The sequence below is a fragment of the Homo sapiens genome, chromosome 8 (assembly GCF_000001405.40).
Source record: "Homo sapiens chromosome 8, GRCh38.p14 Primary Assembly".
NCBI lineage: Eukaryota > Metazoa > Chordata > Mammalia > Primates > Hominidae > Homo > Homo sapiens.
Window position 1 is genome coordinate 105,589,912 of NC_000008.11, and position 26,062 is coordinate 105,615,973.

General features: G+C 35.4%; 1 protein-coding gene across 10 annotated transcripts in view, besides 1 other annotated feature; it reads left to right on the forward strand.

Moving 5' to 3' along the window:
* ZFPM2 (zinc finger protein, FOG family member 2) overlaps positions 1–26,062 on the forward strand; it is a 486,102-nt gene that overhangs the window by 271,474 nt on the left and 188,566 nt on the right. The window lies entirely within an intron of this gene.
* Positions 726–5,269: an enhancer, noted in NCBI's record as "VISTA enhancer hs1800". NCBI's record gives its function as "enhancer in: midbrain (mesencephalon)[9/10] | dorsal root ganglion[6/10] | trigeminal V (ganglion, cranial)[8/10] | cranial nerve[8/10]" and the evidence as "EXISTENCE:transgenic organism evidence [ECO:0001131][PMID:17130149]".

Here is a 26,062-nt window from a genome sequence, read left to right on the forward strand (position 1 = left end):
AGGGTTTTGCCATGTTGGCCAGGCTGGTCTTGAACTCCTGACCTCGTGATCTGCCTGCCTCAGCCCCCAGAGTGCTGGGATTACAGGTGTGAGCCACTGCTCCCGGCTTCTTTAATTCATTTTCTGATCCATTTTGTTTACAGCTGCATATGCTATCTTCCCCTTTCTTTTTGAATTAGCCTCTGAATGGCTCTCTCCTTCACCTTTATTATTCTGCCTGGGTTTTCTAGGCTGAAACTCCAACAGGTAATTTTGCTTGTGTGCTTTATCCCTTGCAGTATTAGTAAAGGGGCTATTTTTATTTCTAAAGTGCCACATTTTAATTCAGCTTCCAGTAATGTCACTGTGAGATGCTGAGACTAAGAAACGCCCTCTAATGTGTTACAACCATATAAAACTATTGTCGTTACTTCTGTTGCAGATAAGAGACCTGTGGAGGATAATAACCACAATATTCAGGGCCAAAATACTTCAGTGTCATATAGTGTACAGCCTGTGGTCATATTACAACTTTATTACCCATTTTTCAATGCTTCTGTGTTAAGCCACACACATATTAAAAATGCTGTGTTTATTTCATTCTTATGATGCTGCTTTGGTTTACTTCAGGCCATGATTAATGGTTTTGGGGGCCATAGGCATAGATAAAGGTGTTTTTGAGTTAGTTATTTAATTCGAAGAAGAGAAATGTTTTGTCCAAAACTTTAAGAGTGCCCTATTATGGATGTGGAGGGCTGATGTGATAGGTTGGAATATTACACTGAAGAATTTCATGTAACAAGAAAAAAGTATGTGTATACGTATAGACACACATGCATGAGTGTGCAAGTGCATGTGCATACGTGCGCACGCACACACACACACACACACACACAGAGTCAGTGGAAGTGTAGCTGACTTTACCAGCACCCACTCAATCACTTTACACAAGACACATGGTCCACTTTAGGAATAAGCAAAACCCATATATCAGACTTGAAAGGGTATAGTTCTGCCATAGTATTAGTAGTTTGGGACCTATCCAGGAAAATAAAAATAGGAGGGATTAAAGGGCTAATGTAAGGTTATTATAAGTATTTATCAGTTGTGGGCAGATAAGTTAGTGGGGTAACAACTACCCTTGTTCTCTTAAAATAGCTTCAGTTTTCAGACTTAACTCCACACTAAAGCTCGGAGCCTTAGCTTAATATTCACAGATAAAGAAAAAAAGTAAATATAGACTATGAATCAGTTTGCTGATTTTGACTTTTTCTCCCATGGAGACCACAAACTGGGTTATGAACAATAAACTTTATATAATCATGAGATTAAATTTTCAGAACTTCTTAGAATTATTTGAAAAAAAAAAGCAACAACAACAACAAAAAACCAAGTGGCATCTAAATGTTAATAAATAATATTGCTTTATAAATTGGATTACCTAAGATTTTTCATTTATGATAGTTTTCTGTCACAGTTTGTTCATTGGATATAGGGTCTAATTGTTCATAAATATAAAACACTTCTTCATTCTTATAACAGTGGAACTTATATAGACAGTACTGTAAATACAGCTTTTAATCAAGACATTGGAAAAATGTTAATGCCTTTGAGTCTTTAATACAGTTTTAAACTTGTACACCAGAAAAATCAAATCGATGCTAAAATATCACATTAGAAAAATTTTATTTAAAGACTTGTTTTTTTAATAATACTTGATAAGCTTCAGAAATTGGGTTATCTTGATGAAAAGTATGCAGCAAAAATATAGTCATATTCATATTGCTGAGTAGAAATGCAATTTATAAAGCTGTATATAAAATACCCAGTAATATCATCATTTGTTAGCTTGCTAAAATAACACAAGCAGTTATTAAAGTCCTCCAACACCTGTATCAGCACAATATTGATACTCTCCCAATCCACAAAATTAATAACAAGGAGATGGCAAATTTGGTATCCTGAGTCCACAGAAGTAAAATATAATACCAGTGAGGAAAAGGTGAAAATAGAAAGAAAAATTAACACCAGATAAAGCAGAGTTGTTTTGTTTGTTAATTGTGTAAAAGAAAAATTTGGTAAACATTTTCATTCTGTTCTCAAAACACAAGCAGCTTAGGGTTAATATTTCATCAGATCACTATTAGGCTTACAAGGCATTATGAAAACCCTCTGAAAAATGGTTAAATTCCATTTCAAAGCACTGTAGTGAGCACAGGAAACATGCAGCAAGACTTTACTGTCATTTGGATAAGAAAGGAGGGAGACTCAAAGCAAAACTATCAAAAGGTCAGGAGGCTGCTTTACTCTCGGTAATTGCCTGGGAATCTTTTTTTTCCTTCTTTTTTCCCCCCTGATGCATTGTTTTCAAAGGGTTGTCTGAAATGTAAAAATATAAAAATGCAATCATATTAAGAATTGAAAAATCATCTGGAAGGGTTAAAGGACTTTCTTATTTCTCATTTGGCCATTGAAGGGTGGCCAAATTGGCAGGCCATCCTTGAAACCCCAAAGTCTTTCACATTTTGGTGCAGTTACATTTGATTTGAAATACATTTTTCCAGTATAAAAATGTTAACTATCTCCCAGTGCAATTGAAACCTGTCTTGTGTCAAAAACAGGAAATTCTAAGGATAAATAGACTGTGGATATATGTCAGATGTTTCTCTTATTTTTTTCTCATTTTCTTTTTTAGACACACAAAACCCATATGCACACACATATATTAATATATATAATATATGCAGATATTGATGGAATTCTGTGAGTTGAAAGAGGAGGAAGATGTCTTGAAGGATCCATATCTCTCCCACCAGATTTGTGCTATTATCACTGAAATGTGGCCTTCAGTCTTGAAACAGTTAAAAGAGTTCTAAGGCCACAAAAGGAGAGATGTCTTCAGAATTATCTCCCGCCTCACATTTGCTCTTAGGCAAGCAGTTTAAAAAAGCCCAGTGATTGAGCCAGTGATCCAATTTGAAATGCAGAAATGATTAGAGCTGCTTGCCTCATTTCATATCGAAATTCTCTGATTTATGACAGGGCTGCAGCCAAGATCTATCTCCAAAGGGAATTAGTGTGCAAGTTTGCATATTTTTGTTATTTAGGTTTCTGATAGCAGCTGCTAGCTAGAAATACTGAACTGGGAGGAGGTGGGGCAAGGATTTTCAGCCACTGGAGCAAAAGAAAGATAAGAGCTTTCTGTTTAGGATATCGAGACCCCTTGACCAGCATGTATCTGTGTTACATATGCTTCTTATATGTGTGTATGTCTAAGAACTTGTTAATGGTATCGACATGAGTGTATATGTACACATAAATTATGAGGTTCAGGGAGCCCAGGAATGTATTGGAATGGTTAATTCTAGTAATGGAGAAAAGAATTACCAAAATTCTGTCTTCATGTTTTAACTACTGGAATTTTAATGAGGCATAATACTTCAATCATGCAACTGACCTGTGGGGCAGAGTATAGAACATATAATGAAACAGAAATAGAATTCTGAAAAAAAAATTATTACCTTATCTGGAATTTACATGAAGTGTTAACAGGAAATTATGCAGCAGTTATAAATGAAAAATATGGGATTTAATGTACTTATTAATAAAGATTTGTTACATACATGATACCAGTGTCCCAAATCTGCTGTCCGCAGCTGTCCCCAATTTCTAATGTTTCTGTCCTCAGATGCCTCATTTGGAGTCATCTTATTACCATGTAAGCTAATGCCAGTTTCTCTTCAGTGAGTATTCCATTCCAAGAAAAAAAAAAAAAAAGGAAATTATCTTTGTGCATAAGTCAAGGGCCGAAGACTTTCTATCAGTTACATTAAAATATTGAACACACACACAACTTTGTTGGTTGTGTTAGTGCTTTTCTTGAGTTTGTAGATTTTAATCACAGTTGCAAAAAAAATTGTGATTTTTCAAGTAAAAAAAAATCCCTGAAAGAAAGATGAGCGGCTGTCAGTCTACATTAGTACTGCAAAGAGCAAAGAAATCATCGTGGGAGAGTTTATTACTTTAGCTGCTCTCTGGCTCCATATGGAGTCATTATGGCCTGGAGTCTTAACAGTGCTCCTCTGCTGACCTTACCATAATGCAGCAGGGCTTCTAGGTATTAAAACCGCTCTCATATTTCACTGAGTATTCTCCAGGGGTTCCAGGGTTATTGTAGTAAAAACTTTAAATTTTGATTACCTTGTTCGTTGACAAAGAATGCAGTAAGATCTTTAAAGACATCTTTAAACCTAAATGCCTGAGTTATTCCTTTTAAATCAGCCTGTCTCCTCTCCTCTTGACTTCCAGCTAACTTGCCTAATTTCAAGACAGTAACTCTTCATGTGGTTGTTGTCTCTTGTGTTTGAGAACCGTGTTGTCCCAGTAGCTCAAACATTAATTTCTAGAAGATTCCTTATGCCAAGAGGGTCTGGCAGTAAATTTTAATTTGATTATGCCTTTTAAAACACAGAATGGACCTTTTACTTTTAATATGGTAGCACTGTTGAAATGATTTTTTAAATTTTAAGGATACATTAAGTATTTACTACTTTAACTCAGCTCTACATTGTAAAGAGTCATAGATTTTATGTATAGTAAGTGGTTTTATTAAAAGCCTAAATATTAATAGTAAATATTTTGGTTCAAGGGACTGAGCTTAGTGTTTTGTTGCTTCATATTTCCATAACTCTCTGAAGCTGATATAGTTCTTCCATTTAACACATGAGAAAACTGAGGTTTCAGACACTCCTCAAAAAGCGCAAAGCTAATTAATGTACAAATTATGGATTTGAACTCAGATATGACTTCAAAACTCTTTCTGCTTTAATTTTATACTACCTCCCTACAGTTCCATTTTAATAATGGCCCTTTTCAGCACTCATGTTAATCATGACTCACTCATGGATTCAGCAAACACTTCTTAATTCTTGCCATGAGCCAGGCACTATGCAAAGGTCTCAGGTTATACCAACTATATTTAGTCTCTGCCCTCAAGGAGCTCAGTCCAATGAGAGAATCAGATACATAAACATATAACTATAGTATCATAAGATGATTTCTGATGGAGGATTCTATAAAAGTTGTTTCTTTTTATAAATAAGCAGTAGAAACAACTTCTAGCTAACTTAGGCAAAAACAGAATTATGGAAAGAATATGGGGGAGTTTACAGACTCTGTGGGATGTTAGAGAACCAGGTTTAGAAAAGGACAAAAATCAAAGCAATTTGAGAGTAAAGAAAGTCTAATAGTAGAAACCATTGTACAGTCTTAGCAGGCACTTGCATTGGCAAGAATAAGCTTCAACACATTTTGGTCTTTTTATTTATTGGTTCAGGACCTAGGTCCAGGGAGGGTGTGCCTTATTAGTCTATCTTTGGTCACATCTGTGTCTCTAGACAAGAGAGAAAAGGGCCCCTATTTTAATAAGCCAGTGTGTGTGTTCAGTGGAGGAATTACACCCAAAAAAACATAGAAAGAGCTATTATCCAAAAGAGCTGGACCAGATGCTGGCCATCCATAAACAGCAATTATCCAACAGGGGTAAGTGTGAAGATTAAACATTTTACTGTCTCAGATGCCCACAGAAGGCTTCCAGAAGGTGATTTTAAGAAGAGTTTTGAAGGATGAATTAACTCAGAAAATAAATTGGGACTGCCAATTCCAGGCAGAAGTAATAATATATACAAAGTCATGAAAGCATGAAACAAAGAAGTGTTTGGAGGAAACACACAATATCGGGTGAAACACGGCTAGTAGTAAGGATTAAAGAAGGTAACAGGAAACTTTCCATGCTTTCCCAAGAAATCTGGATTTTATTCTTTATTCAATGGTACTAGAATAGAGAACATTAAATATCGTGAATTTTTTTGCCAACATTTTTTATCTCCTTCATGGCTAAAATAATCTCTTTTATTGGTTTTAGCCATATGAATAGGCACATAACTTCTTAGAGCTTTTTAATCTATCTATTCCTCATGATTAAATTTCAAAATAGAATAATATACTGCTAACATCTTATAATTGACTTCCAATATCATCTAAAATCTATGTGTATTTCAAAACCATATAAACTGAGAGTATAGCAAAATTATCTGAAATTCTCCTTTTATCTGAAAAAAAAAAAAAACCAACAACAAAAAAAGAAGTAACCAGTTATGTTAATAAAGTTACCAAAATAAAGTGTTTTGTTATTTAGTAGACACTACTTCTGTGCACCCTGTTAAGATTTATGGCAAATGGTAGTATCCATATCAAAATGGAAGAGCAGGTTGTAAGTTGTGTGAATGAAAATATGTTTGGCTCTCTGATCTCTTCATGTCTGGTCCAGTCAGGTTAAAAGGAATAAAAATCAATGAAGAGGAAGTCAGCAAGAAAAGGGAGAAAACAAAAGAGTAAACAATCAGAGGAAGAGTAAAAGAGTTTTCTTTCATTTTCTTTTTCTTTCATCCCTGCATTTTCAGAAAGAAAGAAAAAAGAAGGAAACAAAGAAAGAGAGGAGAAGCACATTTATAATGAAAGTTACATATTTCTCCACCACCATCCTAGTTTTTACCCTGGTTGCAAATAGATTGGCACTCTCCCTGGTTGTTCTGGTATGCCATACCTAGGGAAAGAAGGTATTCTACTTTTCCTGTGAAAACCTTTGCAAGTTTAGCACCAATCCTAATACTCTTCCAAGTTTCTTAGTCAAATTTGGGATCTAAAGCTTCTTTTGTGTATCAGTGGTGAGAACAGAGATCATAATAGTTAAATATTTTGTTCCTATAAGAATTTAACCAATTTCTAGTCATCGTATAAAGCAACTCATGATAGAGAAGGAGGTCTCTGGGTAAGGCTGCCTTTGTCTGCTTTTTTTTTTTTTTTTTTTTTTTTAATGAGTGATTATGAGATTCCTGAGCAGATAGAGCAGATAGGGAAAGATGGCCTGGAACTCTATCTCTAAAACTTCAATTAAGCAAGGTAGTATCTGTGGTGATTTTCAGTATGTGGCACCCAGGAAAGAAACAGACATACTCCTTCCTTTCGTCTTGTTTCTCTACTCTATAAATTTAGTTAATGCTGTTGTTTTTTGTAAAGTAGAATTGAAATTCTACATTGGAATATTTTTATTTTTCAGGCTTATACATTTGTGTTTCAATTTCCTGACACACCTCCTAAATGTAACAGCTGCATTCTTACTGTTAACCAGTATATTTGAAAGCTGTACCTTGGTATCTGTGAAAAAAAAATGCATTATTAATAGATGTTGAATTTTGGGTTGCAAATGAATGTTAGGGCCCTGTTATGCCTGGGTTCTGTTTAAAATCACAGAATATCAGTAATAAATCTTTGAATTGGCAGGAGTCGACATGGTCAGTTTTTAAAATGCTATTTCATTTTCTATGTGTATTTCTAATCATTCTGGAGTTACACAAAATTTGGGTGAAAGTAATGTCCAATGCTGGACTATTTCTACTTATTTAAAACTAAGTATATGGAGATAATATGTTTCAAATATTTGACATTTATGAAGTTGCGTGTGTGCATGTTAATGAGAAAAAGAGAGCAGACCTAAACCTCTCCCCTGTGTGATTTTCTCATGAACATGCCATGTACCTTTCATTAACACTAGATAAAAGCACAGTAGTTTCTTGTTAAATAAAAGTAGTCATTAAAGAGTATAGAGAACAATTTTGTTTTCTCTTTTTATGTTGAAGCCATTTTCAACTTTTTCTTTGCATTGTTTTTCATCATATTTAATGCAGATAAATATTATAATAATGATAGGCTGCTATCAACCCATCTTAATTTAGTAATAAAAAGGATAGCATAACAATATATTTGAGTCTCCCTTCTCCTAAGTTACTAAGAAAGTATATGGTGCAGCATGTTTTAAATGGTCTCCTATTTAATTTTTCCCATGAATAATGTCTTTCATTTGGGAATGATAGTGAATCAAATTCCTAATAGTACCGCTGCACTATAACTACATTATATAGGACTATTAATTAGGATAAATATGAAATTTGAATAGATATTGCAGGTGTGAGACATCAGATGAGAACTCAAAAGGATTAAATTCTGCTGGGGATTGTTATTTCAGTTCTTTCCAATCCTGTTGTTCTGCTGCATAAAACTTACTTTAGTACCTCTCTAGACTGTTATAACATCTGTTGTTCTTGGAAAAAAAAAAACCTTTTTTTTTTTTTTTTTGGTCAGAAATAGCTGTGTTATTCTGCAGCATTGGCCCAGAATGCCTTGCAGGGAGTGAGCTGTGTTCTTCTGGTGTTCTGACTAATTAATTCCCATGAGACCTGCTCCTTGCAACAGGGCTTGCTTGCGCGGAGTCCAGCAGTGGGAAGGACCGCCTTTGGGAAGGTCACTTGAGAAAGCTGTCCTACACATGTGTGTTCATCATGTAAATAAAGAAGAAGGTGAAGGATAAGAGGGTTGAATCCAGGGAAGTTTTATGAGAGAGAGAACTGATAGGACTGATTACTTTTATTTTGATAAAGGGCTTTTTTCTCTATCACCATGAATGCATTTTAAACTTAGAATATATGCTTGCCAAATGATAATCACCATCTCTTAGCTTTGCTTCATCAAATTGTTTCAATGTGATTAAATTTTACCAACCAGGTAGAAGAGTTTTAAAATTAACTTCTGGAAAAATGATCAGTTCTTCTTTTTCTCTCTCTTTAAAAAGTGGAATAATGCCATAGATGTTCACAAAACTCTGCTACCTCACTTCACGCTTTCTCACGTTAAATAAACTAGTTTTATTTCCAAAATGCTGACTTTCTACATTTGCCTCCTTGTTCCTACATTTCCCTCATAAAAAAATCAGTTTTAATTTATTGGGACTGACCAAGAAAGATAATGAAGTCCTTTCAAAAACTCTTTATGTGTGAAACCCTGGAGGAAAACCCTAGAGCCTTCTTACTTCTAGCAACCAATTACTACATACAAAAAAAACTTTCCCCAATTATGAAGTCCACTAATGCATTCTGCACAGACTCAATTTCACGAACTCTGTTGCGGAGGCACCCCTCACATAATTAACAGCAAGACACTGCATGTGGTCAGACCTTCTGCTAATTGATTAAATGAGTCTATTCCTAAATCAGATTCTAATCACACTAGCTAGCATGGCTATGGAACACAGCGTGTATAACAGAATTTCCAGAAATCCAAACTGTGGACCCGCAAAAAATTTAAATTACTCATTGGGGGAGCTGCTTCAGAACTGAACCTAAGAAAAAAATTAAAAGGCCACCTTGCTCTCTTGAAATGCCACTCTCCCTGGGTGTCTTTCTTTAGTATTCCCACTTCTGTTTGATCCGTGTCCTTTTGTGATTCATCATCCACACCTAAACGATATAAAGCATGTCATACTGTGGCCCTGTCTTTATGATTATTTTAGTTAACAAGTGCTGGATAGTTTGCCTGCAGTTTCCTAGTATAACACAAAACCTCCCATCTGCTTGTCAGTTTTTCTTTTTTCTTTTTCTTTTCGTCTTTAAAAAAAAAAAAAAAATGAAGGCTGTGGTGTTCCCTAAGGGTTGTGAGAGAAGTTCATCCCATTGAACTGGTCAGCAAGATATCATTAGCTCGTTGTGTACATGAAATCCAGGGGTTAGAGCACCAAGCGTCACAAGCCAGTTTCTTTACCTCCTTGAGCTGATCAGAGGATCAGAGTATCAAGGAAGGATTAGCACTGACTTGGGATTTGTGTGATTGGTTAATTTATTGCGGCAATGGCAGGCCTTTCATCTATGGCAACATTTAATCAGCACAGCCATGGAGGCTATTACCGGTTAGCTCCTTTCTCAAGTCAGCCAGGGCTGCACCATCAGCCCTATCACAACTCCCCTGAAATTTCCAAATTATCTGGAACAGGCTTTAGCCTCACAGTAATAAAAATTAGAAGAGATTCCTGATAGCACTGGTGGAAAAGGCTTTCACTTGCACAGGGCAAATTATAAATAGTATGAATGTGCACTTTAAAAAAAAAATTCTCCACCTCTTAAGAGATGTGCAGGACTTATCACCCCTGCTCTGATCCAAATCCTCATGGTTGAAAATTTATATTAGATTTTATCAGAGAGGCCTAAGTCTAGAAAAATCAATGAAGGTTATCTTTTATGTTGCAGGAACTTGTGGAAATATTGATTTTCATTTTATAGTGAATTTGGAGCATGAGTTGGTAATCACTGCTGAGCCGACCACAATGTTTGCCTACTGTATCTTTTACTGAGTTTTGCTCAAGTATTTAAGATAGTATTCCTGTTGATTTTAGTCTACAGTGTGAAGACAGATGTTCCTAAAACACAAAGTTGTACTTGGGAAAAAATACACCCGAAAGCTCCCTATTTACAATAATGAGATCAGTATTTTGAGACTATATTTTGACTATTAATGATGGATTTGGGAATAAAATATACTCTGAAATGTTTGTAAGATTTCTTTTTTGCTTCTGTCAAGTTTATAAACCAAGAGAAAGATTATTTTTGAGTAAGGAAAACTGCATATGTATAAAAAAATACATCATTGAAACATTGAAGTCCTACTAAGAAAAGAGGGATTTCTTTTTTTCAATTAATTATTGTCTTTGTATCTGACAAATATTAATCAAAAGTTTCCCTTCTGTTGTATTTTTAAGGTTTTTGTTTCATGAATTTGCTAACTTATTTTTATTTCATTCTTTCTCTTAAAATTTAATAAATGCTATAGTTAATGCAAGTTAAAAAGCATTAGGGAATAGCTGCTCATTTTTTATTTTTTTAAAATTGTTTAAACCCTTTTTGCCTTATTTATGATTGTTTTGGATAATCATATGATGATTATATTATTGTTTACTTATTCTATATCTCTAAAGTGTTTATAGCAATAATCTTAATTCAAGCAGAGAAACTTGTTTGCAAGTAAGAACTCAAGGATAGACTCAGGAATGCTTATTAGTGACTTGATTCTTAAGACTTTAGCATGACTATTGCAGTGTTTTCCTTCATATTTTCTGAGAGAATAATGCCTTTACATATTCACTATGAATATTTTTAAAATGAGAATACATGTAGATATAGTCTTATATTTTGTTGTGCACTAAGTGCTAGATCATCATTTAGTGTTCAGCTTTAATCTTCTCCTAACAGTCTAACAGAGTTCAGTGACAGACTGCCCTGGGTTCCATGGCTGAGCCATCCTGCTCCTCCCTCTCACCCTGGGTTATGCTCCTGAACTTATACTTGGCAGCTGACAAAGAATCGTTTTTCTCCATCACCACCTGAAGCCCTGCACCATACTGCAAGGCTTAGGATAATAGCCAGCAGTCTTTTTTATTCCTCTAAGCATAACCAAAAGATGTCTAAGCCAAGGAATTAACAAGGTAACATATGAAAACACCAAGCCCAGTAGCTGGCACATGGTAGGGCCTGCAGATGGCAGTGACTAGTGCCATTATTGCCTGGGAAAGTCTGTAAGGGGACTCCAGAGAATTCATCACCTGTTCCCTGGTCTTGTTCCCTAATTAACTGGATTTGGACATGTCTATTCATGGTCAAACTTAGCTAAAATGGTGACAAAATTGCTTAGTTTATTTTACTCCCTCTGCTCTGTTCTTATTCTGCTCTTTTCTGTGCTCTTATACCCCTGCCCTTCCTTACTCTTCAATTCTAAATTATAGCCAAATTCTTCTAAAAGTAGAGATAACAGTATAACCCAGGTTTGGATGTAACCTTATACCCCTCTCTGTCTTTTGTTCCCCCTATTTTTCTTCTATATAGGAAATAAGATGTTGGGACTAATAGGACCAAATGACACAGAGAATTCTGAGGATTTGCAGAAAGTCACACAGTTGATGATGGTGCCTGCATTAGAGACCTGGGCCACTCTATTTCATGGGGGCACGGGCATTAGTTGAAGTAAATGAGAATGTATTAAGAACTCTTTGCTGCAAGCTGTGGAAACACAGTTGAATCAGCTTAAAGAAAAGGATAAATTTATTTATTAGAATTGCAGAGTATTTTATGGATACCAAGGGCAGGAATTCACTGGGCCTCAAGATTTATTAGTACTGAAGATTCAGAAACCCTCAGGACGCCTTCAACATTTGTTATGGCCTCTGATTTCTCCAAGTTGGCTTCATTCTCCTTCCTCTCACGTCCAACTGCTCCTTCAGTAGACAGAAGCTTTGAACTTGATAGCTCATACTTGCATCTACCAGTGAGTTATGCCCTTGACTTTCTTGATTCTGTCATTGAAAACCCTAAGGAAAAGACTTACTGTCCCAGCATAGCAGAGGAACACACCTAAGGCTAGGAGGTAGAGAAGTGATTTTCAGAAAAGTAAAGATATCGGAAGACACTTCATAAGTGCTCACTACAATTGGTGACAATATAAACTGCCTTTAGAATATGAAAGCCTCATGAAAAAAAAGGATTGGTTTTTGTTCTGTGGATGCAAATTACAGGAAGATAGATTTTAGTCAATATAAATATGGAGCATGGTAAAATACTGAGTTTATCTCTTTGTCCAGTTAATAGAAATATTTAAATTTGGTTAAATGAAGCCGAATTATAACTGTTCCCACTTATGTTCCCTACCTGACCTTCTCTAGAAGAAAGGATTGCATTATCTTCAACCTGGCCTAAGTGAATTTCAAGATTTCAAAATTAAGATTCATTGGGTTTATGTTCCAATAATGGTTTTATAAATATTGTATGTTTTTAAAAAGTGAATTCCTATATTAAATGGCTCATGCCTGTGATACATATGTGTGCATTTGTACATACATGAATATGTGTGTACATACTATATATTTGCCTGTGACAGATTTGACTTGCTTCTGTTATTCTGGCCATGAACTTGGCATTTGTGTGCATCAGCACTGAGTATTTTATGTAATATAATTTAGGCTAAATTATCATAAAAAATTATTTGACTGGTAGAGGCCACATTCCAACCAGAGAAGTTCAGAGGCATTCATGTCTTTCTTGTTCTTATTGTTGCTTGCCCAAAGCTCACAGACTGGATACTTTTTAAATCAAGTCACATATTCTCCCCAGATTTATTCTGAAAAGCTTATTGATAAATTATTTTTGAAAGCTTTATTTTAACCTATGTAACAAACTAAATTTTCTTTCATATACTTATAAATGTACTATGATACATGGAGAATAGTGATTCATTTCATGATTTTTGCATAGTGGAATAGTAGGCATTGTCTCTCCATATGGCAGCTCTTTGCTGCCAAAAATTGTATGGTGTTAGGCAATAGCAAAGGGATTCCATACCAAAAGGTGCCTCAGCTTTGGTTACCTCACATAAAAAGAGTTGGCATAGAGCATTTTACAGCAGTGGTGTACAAATTTAGAATTATACAGATTCTTGCTTACAGCATGGTATATAGGGATACTCAAATGTTTCGTCGCTGGGTTAGGAAGACATATGACAGTGCAAATATACATAATATACTAATCTATTTAGCCTGAGGACAGAATAAAAACTTATATCAAGGATATTAATGTACAATGAAAAATGGTTCTGCCTAATTGGCAATGCAAATGAATTGTAGTATGGACAAGCATCTTTGTGAATTTATATTTTTTCCCCAAAAATCTGACTGTTAATTGTTAAATGTTTTATTTGTTTAATAGATAAGAATGGTCCCAGTTGTAAATGATTAGCCTTATCAGTATTCAGAATGTTTCTGTAATATTATCTATGTTTAGAGAATATTCATACACTTTGAAAACGTGGAAATTATGATCTTTTGAATCAGACATCACCCACCAGTGTGAGTCCTAGCTGTAGTACTCATTAGCTGTGTAATTTAGGCAAGTTAGTTGACCTCTCTCAATTTCAGGTTCTTCATCAGTTTTTTAAGAAAATGAAAGCAGGTGGGGGTTCTTATCCTGCATAGTGATAACGCTTGATTTTATCTACTCCATCAGTCCCTCCTTCCTGAAGCACTGTCAGCACTTGGCTCCCATGACATGGCCTCTGTTGCTTTCTCCACCTTACTGAATGCACCTTCTGTTTTCTTGGCCAAGAAACTAGCTGCTAAATATTGAGTCCAGGACTCCGGTCTATTCTTTTCTTTAGATGGTCTCATACCACATGGCTTTAACTTCCATGTTAAAGCCAAATTTAAATCCCCGCCCGAATCTCTCATCTGAGATCCAGACTCATATTTGTAATTGCCTACTTGACATCACTGTATCACAATAGAGATTTGGAAATCAGAACTCCAAAACATACACCCTAAGATGACTCCTATCTGAATCTTCCTCATCTTCATAAATGTCATCATCATTCATCCAGTTTTTCAGACCCTCAAATCTGGGAGTTAGCCTTAATTCCTCTCTTTTCTTCACTGACTCTATCCCCAGCAAGTCAATGAATTTCGCTTTCAAAATCCGACCACTTCCCACCACTTCCAGAGCTATCCTGGTTGAGGACACCATCATCTCTTACCAGGCCTCAGCAGCAGCCTTCTCACTTGTTTCTATTTATCCTTGTCCCACAAAGACTGGTCATCACATCACAACCCAAGTGGTATTTTAACATGTAAATTACAGCATGGTATTCCCAAGACCATGCAATGGCTTCCCATCACACTTGGAGTAAAATCCGAAACCTTTTCCGTGGTCTCCATGGCTCTACATGATCTGGACTTTTTCTAGCCCCTAGCCAATCTCTGCCTTGCTGACTTCATCACGACCACATTAGTCTCTTTTCTGCTATAGAATTTGCTGGATTTTCATCTTGATGCCTCTGCTTTTGCTGTGCCCTCTGCCTCGAACATTTCACCTACAGACCTTCATATGGCTCACTCCTTGGCTTCATTCAGGAACATGCTCAGATGTTCTCTCTGATACAGAGCATTCTCTGGACGAACTTAAACAGATCAAGCAAACAAGACTCTGTTATTGTCTCTTTATATCTTTATTTTACCTAAAATCACCTTATAGTTAGTGTTCATATATATCTTTTTCTCCCTAATAAGTGGGTGAGTTCCACAAGGACAGATTATCTTGTATGTTTTGCTATTTCACCAACACCTAAAACACATCAAATAAATATTTGCTGAATGTATAAATTGAATAAAATGACATTTTAAAAAGATCTTAACATAGTGCTTAAAGCAGAGTTCAATAAATCTTAATTTTCATTGCCATTCTCATTCTCAAGTAAATTAATTTGAAATAACTCCTCTGTAAAGCTGTAGTTTGGATAGTCACTTTGTTTAAAAACATTAAAAATGTTCAAAATCTGTTTGGCTTTTACAGTATTAATGCCACCAAAAGACAGCGGAGATAGTAGAAAACTGTGACCCAGGTTCAAATCCTGACTTCATCACTCTCTCAATTGTTAACCCAAGATTAGTCAATACAATTCTGAATCTTTCTTTCATTACCAAAGAAAGGCAGTTAATAATTACTTCAAGAGATTTTTTTTGAAAACAAAGTAATACACATTTACATTATGCAATATTTGAAATAGAATGGAATTTAATTAATATGACTTATATCTGAATATAATGATTCCAAGTTATTGCTGTCAGCAAATTAAATTAGCAACTGATTTATTATTTTATCTACATCATTAAAACTGTTGATAGATAATTCCATACAGAGGACTGACAGTTGTGGATTTCAAAATATTGAGGTTGTGCCATGAACAACCATTATTTGTAAATTTCTTGCAATTAACTTCTGTGTTGATATGGAAAAAGTATATTTTAGTATATTTTAAGGCTTCCTGAGTATGACATTTTTTATCTAATGAGAGTAATATTTGTCATATCAGCCTGATTGGTTTCTCATTCTTCTATGAGAAAATGGGGTAAGAAAGTTGTATTGATATGTTGAGAATTGCTCAGTGCAACACTATATCTAGCTGTATGCAATGCTCTCCATTTTCAAACCTATACTAATGACTTTGCTATGTAACTCACTTCAGTACTTTCTGGGCATTTTTCTTGGCTGCCCAGCAAGTTTTAGATTGGAGGCTATGTTCTTCCCATGAGCTCTTCGTTTATCCTCTTCCATCTGATGTTGCTCTGAATCATGAGTGCTGAGGTCTGCAGCAAAGTTTGTCATTTTCTCTTAATACCTGGTATGGAAGTGACTGGTCATTTGGTTTTAAACACTGACAGTTTTTCTAAGTATTATTTCATTTTCCATTCTCTCATTGAGGATAGCTTCTTTTTAAAATTCTCACATATTTTTATTTATATTTCAAATAAATAAACCAAATTAACAACAAAATAGCAGAAATGTTTATTGTGTTTGTGTGTATGTGTGCAAAAACAGAGATGAAACAAATATTTATTGGTGTTTTCTATGTTTGCCTCTAAATATTATCTCTCCTCACCCTAAGAGGACACTTTTTTATATTGATTTTCAGGTAACACTTTTTTTCTAGTGTTGATTATATGCTGCATTTCTTCTTCTTCTATATACGTTCAGAAATATATGTATTTCCATATCTTTTTTTCATTTGAGTTGTTGTAGTATGGTGATGGAGAGCTCGGGCACTGGAGTTGAAATGCTTGGTCTTAGATCTGAATTCTGTCACTGCTGAGCTTGTGGCTCTGGGCCACTTTACCTTTCTCTGTGCTCCAATTGGCTGGTCTGTGGGAGTGGAGATATTAATAGAACATATAAATGCATGTTTTGAATTTTAAAATAGGTTATGTATGGAAATTACAAAACACAAAGGCTGGCACAGAGCAAGCACTCCATAAATACTAACCATTATTGTCATTATGTTAATAAACCATTACTGCCTGTATTTTCTATATTCTTTTGGAAAATTATATGTCATCTCCTGGTAACAGTCCCATGGGACCGTGATATTGCCAAATAACACAATGTGGGAGCTTAAAGAAAGTTTGTCCAACCATTACTTTCCAAATAAAAAAACTGAAGCTTTGAGAAACAACATAGCTGATCACATATATAATTAAAGGAAGAACTGTTTAGGATATTCTGCCCATGGTTCTTTCCACAATTTGTTTGTTTGTTTGCTTGCTTTTGGTGGAGAGGAGAAAATAATAAGTTTGTCTTCAACTGGCTTTTATCCCCCTCCAAATTATCCTCAGCTATGCTGTCCTTGGATTCAATAAGCCACTCTCTTCATAAGACCATACCAATTTTCTAATAAAGCTCACACAGATTTCGTGCCTTTGATTTTAAGATTTCTACATAGGTCCCCTCAGATCTTCTCAAATTATTTGATCCTCTCTCCTCTTCGGCCATTCCTTAGAATGTTTTCTATAGATTTACAGAATTGGCTTACAAATAGGTAACACCTTAATAATGTAGTTTTACATGTCTTAATTATCTTCTCTAAAATTCCTCCTTCCTTCCATTAGTTGATACCTCAGATTCTGCCAAGAAAACCTTATCTTTTTTAACTTGAAACTTGGTTTACTGATGGAATATAAATGCCTAGAAAGTACATTAAAATGTAATAAATTTTATCTCATATTAATGAGAGATCTGAGAAAAGAAGAAGGGAACAGAGGAGGACCTTGCTATCTCCGATGAACACCCCCTCTCACTTTCACTCTCACACACTAGTATCTTTCATCTCCCAATTAATGAGTTATGTTTAGATTCATAAAAATCTATAGGAGGAAGTGACCTTTGAGAACCTTGAGTTCATTCTTTTCACAGTGGCAAGAAGTATAACTCCAAAGAGTTAAATGCGTTTGTCTAAAGTCACCTATTTGTGGCAACAGATGGCCTCCCCTTACCATCTCCCTAAGCTGAATACCTTCTACCAGGTAATCAGTACCTCAAAGTCCACTCCACTCTTTCCCAGTTAAGCCAGCCTCCATGTTCACTCTCCTGTGTGTTCCTGAATTTGTAACCAGTTCCGCTACTTTAGATCCCAAACTCTAAATTAATTTTTTAACATCTTTTTAATGATTTAATATATCCTAATATGTAGTGAATTAAATATCCTTACCTGGAGGAATATCAGTTATTCTGCCATAAAGACACATGCACACAAGTGTTCATTGCAGCACTATTCACAATACCAAATATACGGAATCAGTGTAAATGCCCATCAGTGACAGATCGGATAAAGAAAATTTGGTACATATGGAATACTGTGCAGCCGTAAAAAAGAACGAGATCATGTCTTGTGGGAACATGGATGGAGCTGGAGGGTATTATCCCTAGCAAACTAATGCAGGAAAAGAAAACCAAATACCACACGTTTTCACTTGTAAATGGGAGCTAAATAATGAGGACTTGTGAACACAAAGAAGGACGGACACTGGGGACTACTTGAGTTTGGAGGGTGGAAGGAGAGAGAGAAGCAGAAAAGATAACTGTTGGGTACGGGGCTTAGTAACTGGGTGATGAAATAAGCTGTACAACAAGTTTACCTGTGTAACAAACCTGCACAACGTACCCTCGAATCTAAAATAAAAACTTTCTAAAAAAAGAAAAAATCCTTAAAAACAAATTTTACTGGTTATTCTTGCATGTTACACCTTCTTTTACACTTCTGATCATTAACTGCAATTATTACTCCCTGTAAGGAAGGCACACTGCATACTTTGTGTGAACATTCAACCAAAAATGTAATTCATTAATGTATCAAACATTTTTCACATTATTGCTATGTAATGCCATATGTAAAAGTTGAATATATTATTTAGAGTTTAGAAAGGCTAGAGAACACCAAGAGTTTTTTTTTTTTTTTTTTTTTTTAATCAGTGAGTAACTAATAGAAATGGGTAAATGTGTAGGGAAATTTGGGTTTTTAGAGAAGATGAAATTCATTTTAGACATGTTGAATTTGAAATTATAGTAAGAAAAAGAAATACAAATATCCAGGAAGAAATATCCTTAAAGGAACGCAAGGATATGGGAGATTAGCTAAAAGCTGACAATATAGATTTGAGAGTCATTTGCTAGTGGTGCTGTTTCTTTGCAAAATTCAGCATGAAGAATCATAAAAATATAGAAAGTTAAGTGATTCATGAACATTAACTATTTTTTTAATTAGTCATAAAGTATTTATTGATGAACTATTTAGTGGGGGGCGTATATCAACATTGCTTCTGAAATGATAAAAACTAGAAGACTGAACAAGGAAAGAAGAGACACATGGAATAAAATGTAGACAAATGAAATAGAAGCAAATGCAATGACACACACACAATTAAAAAAAAGCAATTACAAGCAATATATCAACAAGTACAAAATGGCACAGCACAATTATATTCCCAGGGGACATAAAAGGGTGAACTGAAGGAGGGGAGCGAGGTTAATTGGGAAATGCTTCCTCAGGGCAATGAGAGCTGAACAAGATCTGAAGGAAGGGATGGGTTCAAACTGGTAGAGAGGAGCATGGAGGCAAGCCAGGAGCATGGAGGGAAGCCAGGATGGAGGGAATGGTCTTAAACAGAAGAGGAAGGGAGAAATCAAGCACTGCATAGGGAATAACAAATGGGATCTTTTGCCTCCAGTGGAGAGGACAAGTGGAAACTTATCAAGTCATCATTCTAGAAAGGTTTGGAAGGGGAGTGGTGTGGAGGCAGTGGGAAGTGAGAGTTTTAAAGAACCTTGAATGTAATGATGTACTCTAAAAGCTACAAGCATTTTAATTGTATTATACAAGTTAGTTTTCTAAATCTATTAATGAATTCCTAGTGCACAGCCTCCCATTGCCAAAGTTACATGGAAATGTGCGTTCTTATATCACTGCCCCGCCTTGCGTTGAATTCCCTTTTTGGTTTAACTGTAAAAAGAGAGTAGACAGTGCCTGATGGATATTTGTTCTTGGCTAAAACTCTGCATAGTACTTTGAAATATTATTCTTCCTAGCAAATGTTAACAGTTGCTAATGTCATTCAAAAATAGTTGAGGAAAATATGTTTGTGAAACATACAGCTCTTACTGTCACATCATTTCCTGAGTGAAAAGAAAATACAGTGGTACTTGGCTATTTATTGAATGGAAATCCTTTAATGTTGTCAAGGATTTCACCAAACTAATGCTGTAAATAAGTGGGAAATCATGTGCCCTCTGTTTTAATGTCTGTTTCTTCATGATGAGGCAGCCACCCCACTCAGCAGTCCAGATGGAACTACCACCCATCGCAGCCCTCTTGTCCTCAGATAGGATAACCAGAGCATAACTACTTTGGAGCAATGCAATTATGAATTTCTTGAGGGGGAAAAAGGAGAGATAAGTTCAGGGAAGTCAGCTAACATGGTATATGGGTAGTTCTGGGCAGCAAAAGGGTTAATCAGATTTTCATTTTAGATAGTCGCCTTAGTAACAATCAGAGAGCCCAGGCTGTATCTTTTCCGTTTGTGGGGAATGTTTAGATTTACAGAGTAGCTTAGCTTATCATATACCTACCTTGATTGCTGGATAAGGCTTGTGATTAAAAACAGAATAAGATTCATTTTTATAATATTGTAAAGAAGAGCAAAACATTAAAAATGATGTCACTGATGGTCTAGGGTTCTGGGAAATTACTGATATTGGAACTGTGGTGCTGACAGGGCTCTTTGAAAAGTTAAAATAGAAGAAGGTCAACATCTTTACCTTTAACTTTTACTGAAAATGAGTCTGTATTTACCATTTTTAGGAGTGAATTGGAAACTAGCATATAATAACTAGCTAACAATGCTAGAGGAGAAATTGGATATCAACTTCGTTTCTATGCCAAATTGCATTAAACTCTCAAAGATGTTTTTGTTTTATATTGTATATTGGGGGCTCTGTGGCCTTTTAATGAGGAATTGAAAAAAAAATAGGTTTGAAAAGCATTTATTTTCAGAAGTGTCCAAAAGAGTGGACCAGTGACACTAAAACGTTGAAGTCCGAAATTCATCCATTGTCCAAATAGCAGGAAAACAAACTCAACAATCTGCTCTGCACATGGCCTCAAACCTCACCTGGAGAGACAGATTTCCTAAGGGCAGAGAAAAGCATTCAGTCTGTTTTCCAGGACCAAGACTGTCTGGAGCAGCTGCTGCCAATTAGTGACAAGTGATATGTAGGGAGGCCATGATACATGTAGAGCTACCAGAGTTCAGCAGTTTCAGAAATTACTCTCTGAAGAAAGAAGAACACAATTCTTAGGAGCATAGTTCATTGCACTTCCATGGTAGTAACTTGGTAACCAGTGAGCCTACTCCAGACATCTCAGAAGTCAGGATGTCAGGCTTCTGTGGCCATTGAGTTTATACATTATTTACAGACAGCTCCTGACTTACTTTTGCTTATTATATTAACTGAAAAATGCCCAAGTTGCACCCTGGCCATTCTGCAGTGATCAAATATTTAGCCAAGAGAGCCACTGGAGAGACTTAAAAATAAAATGAACAAACAAAAACTTGGAGGAGTTAAAGACCATATCTCTTTAGATTTGGAGAAAGAAAAACAAATTTTGAAAACGAGGAACAGCTTAATAATTATAGATAAATCAGTGGCATAGCAATCATTCATTCCTTCATATCAATTCAGTCAGATTGCCTTCCTACTCAGAACTGATCCACTAAATGAATAGAAGTGTTTGTTGGCTTTATGGTGAAAAAGAGAAAAATGGTCATTTTGGCACATGGAGTAATTTGTAAGACAGGACACATACTTCAAATAAGGAGCCTGGTTTAGGGGAGTTGAAGAGGCTCAAAAACTCCAAGGATCAGGGACAACAGTTTTGAAATCAGGGAGACAGGAACAGAGATGGGAGAAGGCTGAAGAGTACAAAACACATTAAAAATTTACCTGTGACCAGAAAAAGAAACATTCAATCTCCTTTTCCCTCCTTTAACAAATTAACAAAAAAAAATTTTTTTTTTTTTTTGAGATGGAGTTTTGCTCTTGTTGCCCAGTCTGGAGTGCAATGGTGCGATCTTGGCTCACTGCAACTTCCACCTCCCGGGTTCAAGCGATTCTCCTGCCTCAGCTTCCCGAGTAGCTGGGATTACAGGCACCCACCACCACGCCTAGCTAATTTTTTGTATTTTTTAGAGATGGGGTTTTACCATGTTGGCCAGGCTGGTCTCGAACTCCTGACCTCAGGCGATCCACCCAACCTTGGCCTCCCAAAGTGCTGAGATTACAGGCATGAGCCACCACGCCCAGTCTGACCCTTATTCTTAGACACAAGAATTCATATTTAATGCATGGCTAAATTAAGAGCTAAGTAACCTACTTATAATCCAACCTTGAGACTTGACCATTTGTAATATTGAGTCTATGCAGTTCTTTACTCATTAAGAACTGGGTAAGATATAGACTGTTTTTAAAGAAAACAAAATCCAATAGGTTCAAAATTTCCCAGGGATTTATAAACTACCATTTGAGAAATGCCATCTTAAATAAACTAGAATATTCTATTTACTGCATTTCAAAAGGGCATTTTTACTATAAAATAGCTGATTTGCTATTACGCATTATAAAAGTGCATTGGTTTTCATGTTTGTTATATTAGGATATTAGGATTAAAATGAAAACGTCCAATTGAAAAAAAAAATGCCCATAAATATTGAAGCCCCTGAGAGGTCTGCAGTCTCTGGTTTGAGAAACCCTGGTAAAGGTGAAAAATGTAATTTCAGTTCCAAATGGTACATTTTCAAATGAACTTTTAGAGTCTATTTATAACTAGGATTCCCTGTATTTAATCATTTCACACAAATTTTTTCCTGGTTTGGTTAAAGAATGTCTTTAGCACAGTCATCTAACATTAACAACATAATAACAAGATTGTTGACCAAAAACAAGCTATAAATATTTGGTTGGAGTATGAAAGAATTTTTCAAATGTCTAATAATATATCTAGACTTGGCTCTGCATTAGAAAGTCTGTGAACTTTTCTGTCTCCCTTGCTCTCTCTTTCTACAGGGTCACTACATATTTTAATTGTCTGTGTGCCTGTAACATTTCAGCATGTGAACCAACATATAATAAAAAATGCAGATGTTCCCAAAGCTGAAATAAAGAAGATAATTTTGGTTTTACTAGGGAAATAGTGGAAAGAAAAAATGATCATTTTCCTGGCTTCTAATTCGTGGGGGAAACTTGGATTATCATTTACTTGACAAAGTTGACTTCAATCACTATCTCAAAATAACTGCCCTTTTGTGATCTTTACAACACTCAGGATTGCCTTTGTCCATAGTAGGTGATCAGTAAGTGTCTTGTTGATTGGTTTATTTGATTAAAACAGATTTAAATGATTTCAGTAGTCACAATGATATATGTAATAATAATTAACAGCAGGCAAAATAGGTGATTGTGTGATTTAATTGGAGATTTTAAGCCAGTTGTTCAATACGTCAGCATAGCCAAATGATGACTGAGGCTTGTAATGATACTGCAGAGCACACCATGGTGAAAAGGGAGAGGAGAGTGGGGAGGTGGGTGGTTGAGAATAGACAGGGAAGAAGACGGGGCTGGGAGGAGTGAGAACCCATAAAAGAACACTGGAGAAGATCATTATAGAAAATATGAGTAATTACTATTAGAGTAAATGTCAAAATATTATGGATCAGAAGCTGATGAATTTTAGTAAAGGATACAAAAATTTTAGGTGAAGAAAATAACAAATGTGGTAAAAAAAATACAGGAACAATTTTGCAAAGGAAGAATGTTGAAAGGTTCCTCTGAACTTTGATAGGAAGGAAGAGCAAGAAAAATGAAATACAAAAGTAGTTCTGGTAGTTTTTGGTATCTTTTTAGCGTCATTGAAGAATAATTGCTCTGAAAATCACCTTAGCATCTTACCTTGTATATAGACTAGGTCCTAGTAGGACCCATTCACTTTCAGGTTTACCAACACTCACTAAGATAAGGGTGTTCAGTTTAAGACTCTGTTATGAAGAATGAGGAGAACTTGGCCACGTTTCAGAGCAAAGTAGTAAAAATAGTACCGTGAGAAAAGATTAGGGTTCCAGAATATCAAATCATTTTGCCCCCCAAAAAAGGCAAAGTTACATTTATAAAAAGAATGGAAGGTACATGAGAAGTTACATGATGTAACTGTCTTTCAAGATATGAAGAGATATTATTGTTCAACTAGAATTCCATCTTCACCTCTGAAAGCTGAAAGGAAATGAATTTACATAACAACTGGAGACATTAATATGAGGTCTCTTTATGGTTAGATTTTTGGAATCTAGTAGTTTCCAACAACAACAAAAACAACAAAAATTTGCCACTTGCCATTAATTACCTTCAACACATCTCTTAGTTCTCTTACCCATTTTATTTTAGCCAATCACAGATCATTATTTTTTTCCAAACAATTCCAGGCATACACATTATTTTATTAGACAATAACAGAAGTGCAAGATGTTAATTATTATTTCTGTTTCTAACTTTATATATTTTAAGTATGAGCATGTTGCATGTTTGCTTCATATGTTTTCAGCTACCCTATTGCATTTCTTTGACTCATTTATGTGGAGTTTCCTAAAAGAGACTTTTAAATCAATACTGATTCATCAGTTATGTCTTCAAGTTTGCAAATTTCATGCAAAAAAAGTTTCAGTAGACACCCCTCCCTAAAATCTTAGTCATATTTTGTCTTCTGTAACAGGATCCTAAAAATAGCTGAGAAATTCTGATGCTTTTTCTTTGTTTACTAATTTTAAGATCATTATGCATACTCTAATGCATAATTATAATTATGCATTCATGATGTTACTTGTGCAGGCTTAACTCAGAAATAGTCTGAAGCAGCTAATCTTGAAGCTACAGGCTGTTTCCCATCACTTAGATTCTGATCAGAGCTGTTTGTCGAGTCTTATTGGAACGCGGGACCCTATGCACCAGTCCCAAGGCTGGACACTTCATTTTTATCACTAGTTTCACTATTTGCCCTTTCTCCTTCCCCCCAAATCTTTGCTTTTAAGACAGGAAAACCTACAAGATAATTTGGTTTTATTGTATATGTTTAGTCTATTCACAGCAATTAAATGAGAGGGGTTTTGAAAATTCTCCAGTTTATTTATAATCCATACTTGACATTATGCATAAAAAATGAAGACAGTGTCATTTTTCATGCTTGAGATTTTACTATCAACTGGCCTTATCATTGAATTTACTTTAGGGTTACTTAAACTAGTCTAGTGCAAAACTATTAAACTTTCTTCCATGTGTTGTAGAATAGTGTGATTTGGCCCAAAAAGGAAATTGTTCCATGTGTCTTGTATGGTATGCCCTTATCAATATTTGCAAAGTGTTCACTGAGTGCTTATGGAGGGAAGGGTACTATCTACAGCACTGTGAAGGGTAGTAACAAGTCTCATTTAATAACATGAAAAAAAAAACACTCTTATGGTCTTGGTTATTAGAAACTAGAACTTGGGTTAGTCAGTAATAGCACAATAATGGAAATATACTCTCAAGTTTATTGCCTTATCTGGGGTGCACAGTCTCAGAAGATATGGAAGACAGAGTAGTAAATAAAAGCATTTTGCTCTAAGAATGTCAAGGACAGAGCAAACTCTGAGTTTGTAGTTTTACTTTTCTGCAAAGTTGAATTAGGGAAAATTCATTTTGATGTGAATTAGCGACAGTGTTTTGATTCTGAAATATAATGAGGGAGAATCCCAGTCGAAGAGTGTGCATAGGTGTATGTGTATTTATTGAAGGGACTCTTTGCTTCTAGGGAGTGGGGCACCTTTTTGCCATTTATATTTATAGTCACTGTGCTTATTCAAATTGCTAAATGTTAAAGCCCATGAATTTATTTTTAACATCAAGAAAGCAAGCAAAGATTTTAAAAGGCTGAGAAACACTGGAGAAGTCTGTTTCATGAGTTTCATCTATTTAGAGTACATGAAAACTTAGAGTCAGAAGGTACCCTAGACATTGTGGAGTCTTGGTCTTTTCCTCTAAAAATGAGGAAACTGGCTCAGGGAATTCATGCATTTTTGACAAAGGTAATCTAACCACTTACTGACAAAGTTAGAACCAAACCTAAGTTTAGTGAATTTCCAGATCATTTTAGAAAATATGTATAACTAGCGTGAAATAGGAACTACTTAAGGAAAACGGCATGGTGTTCTTAGTCATGGGGGATTTTGCTTTGTTTTTGGCTTGGTTTGATTTTAGTT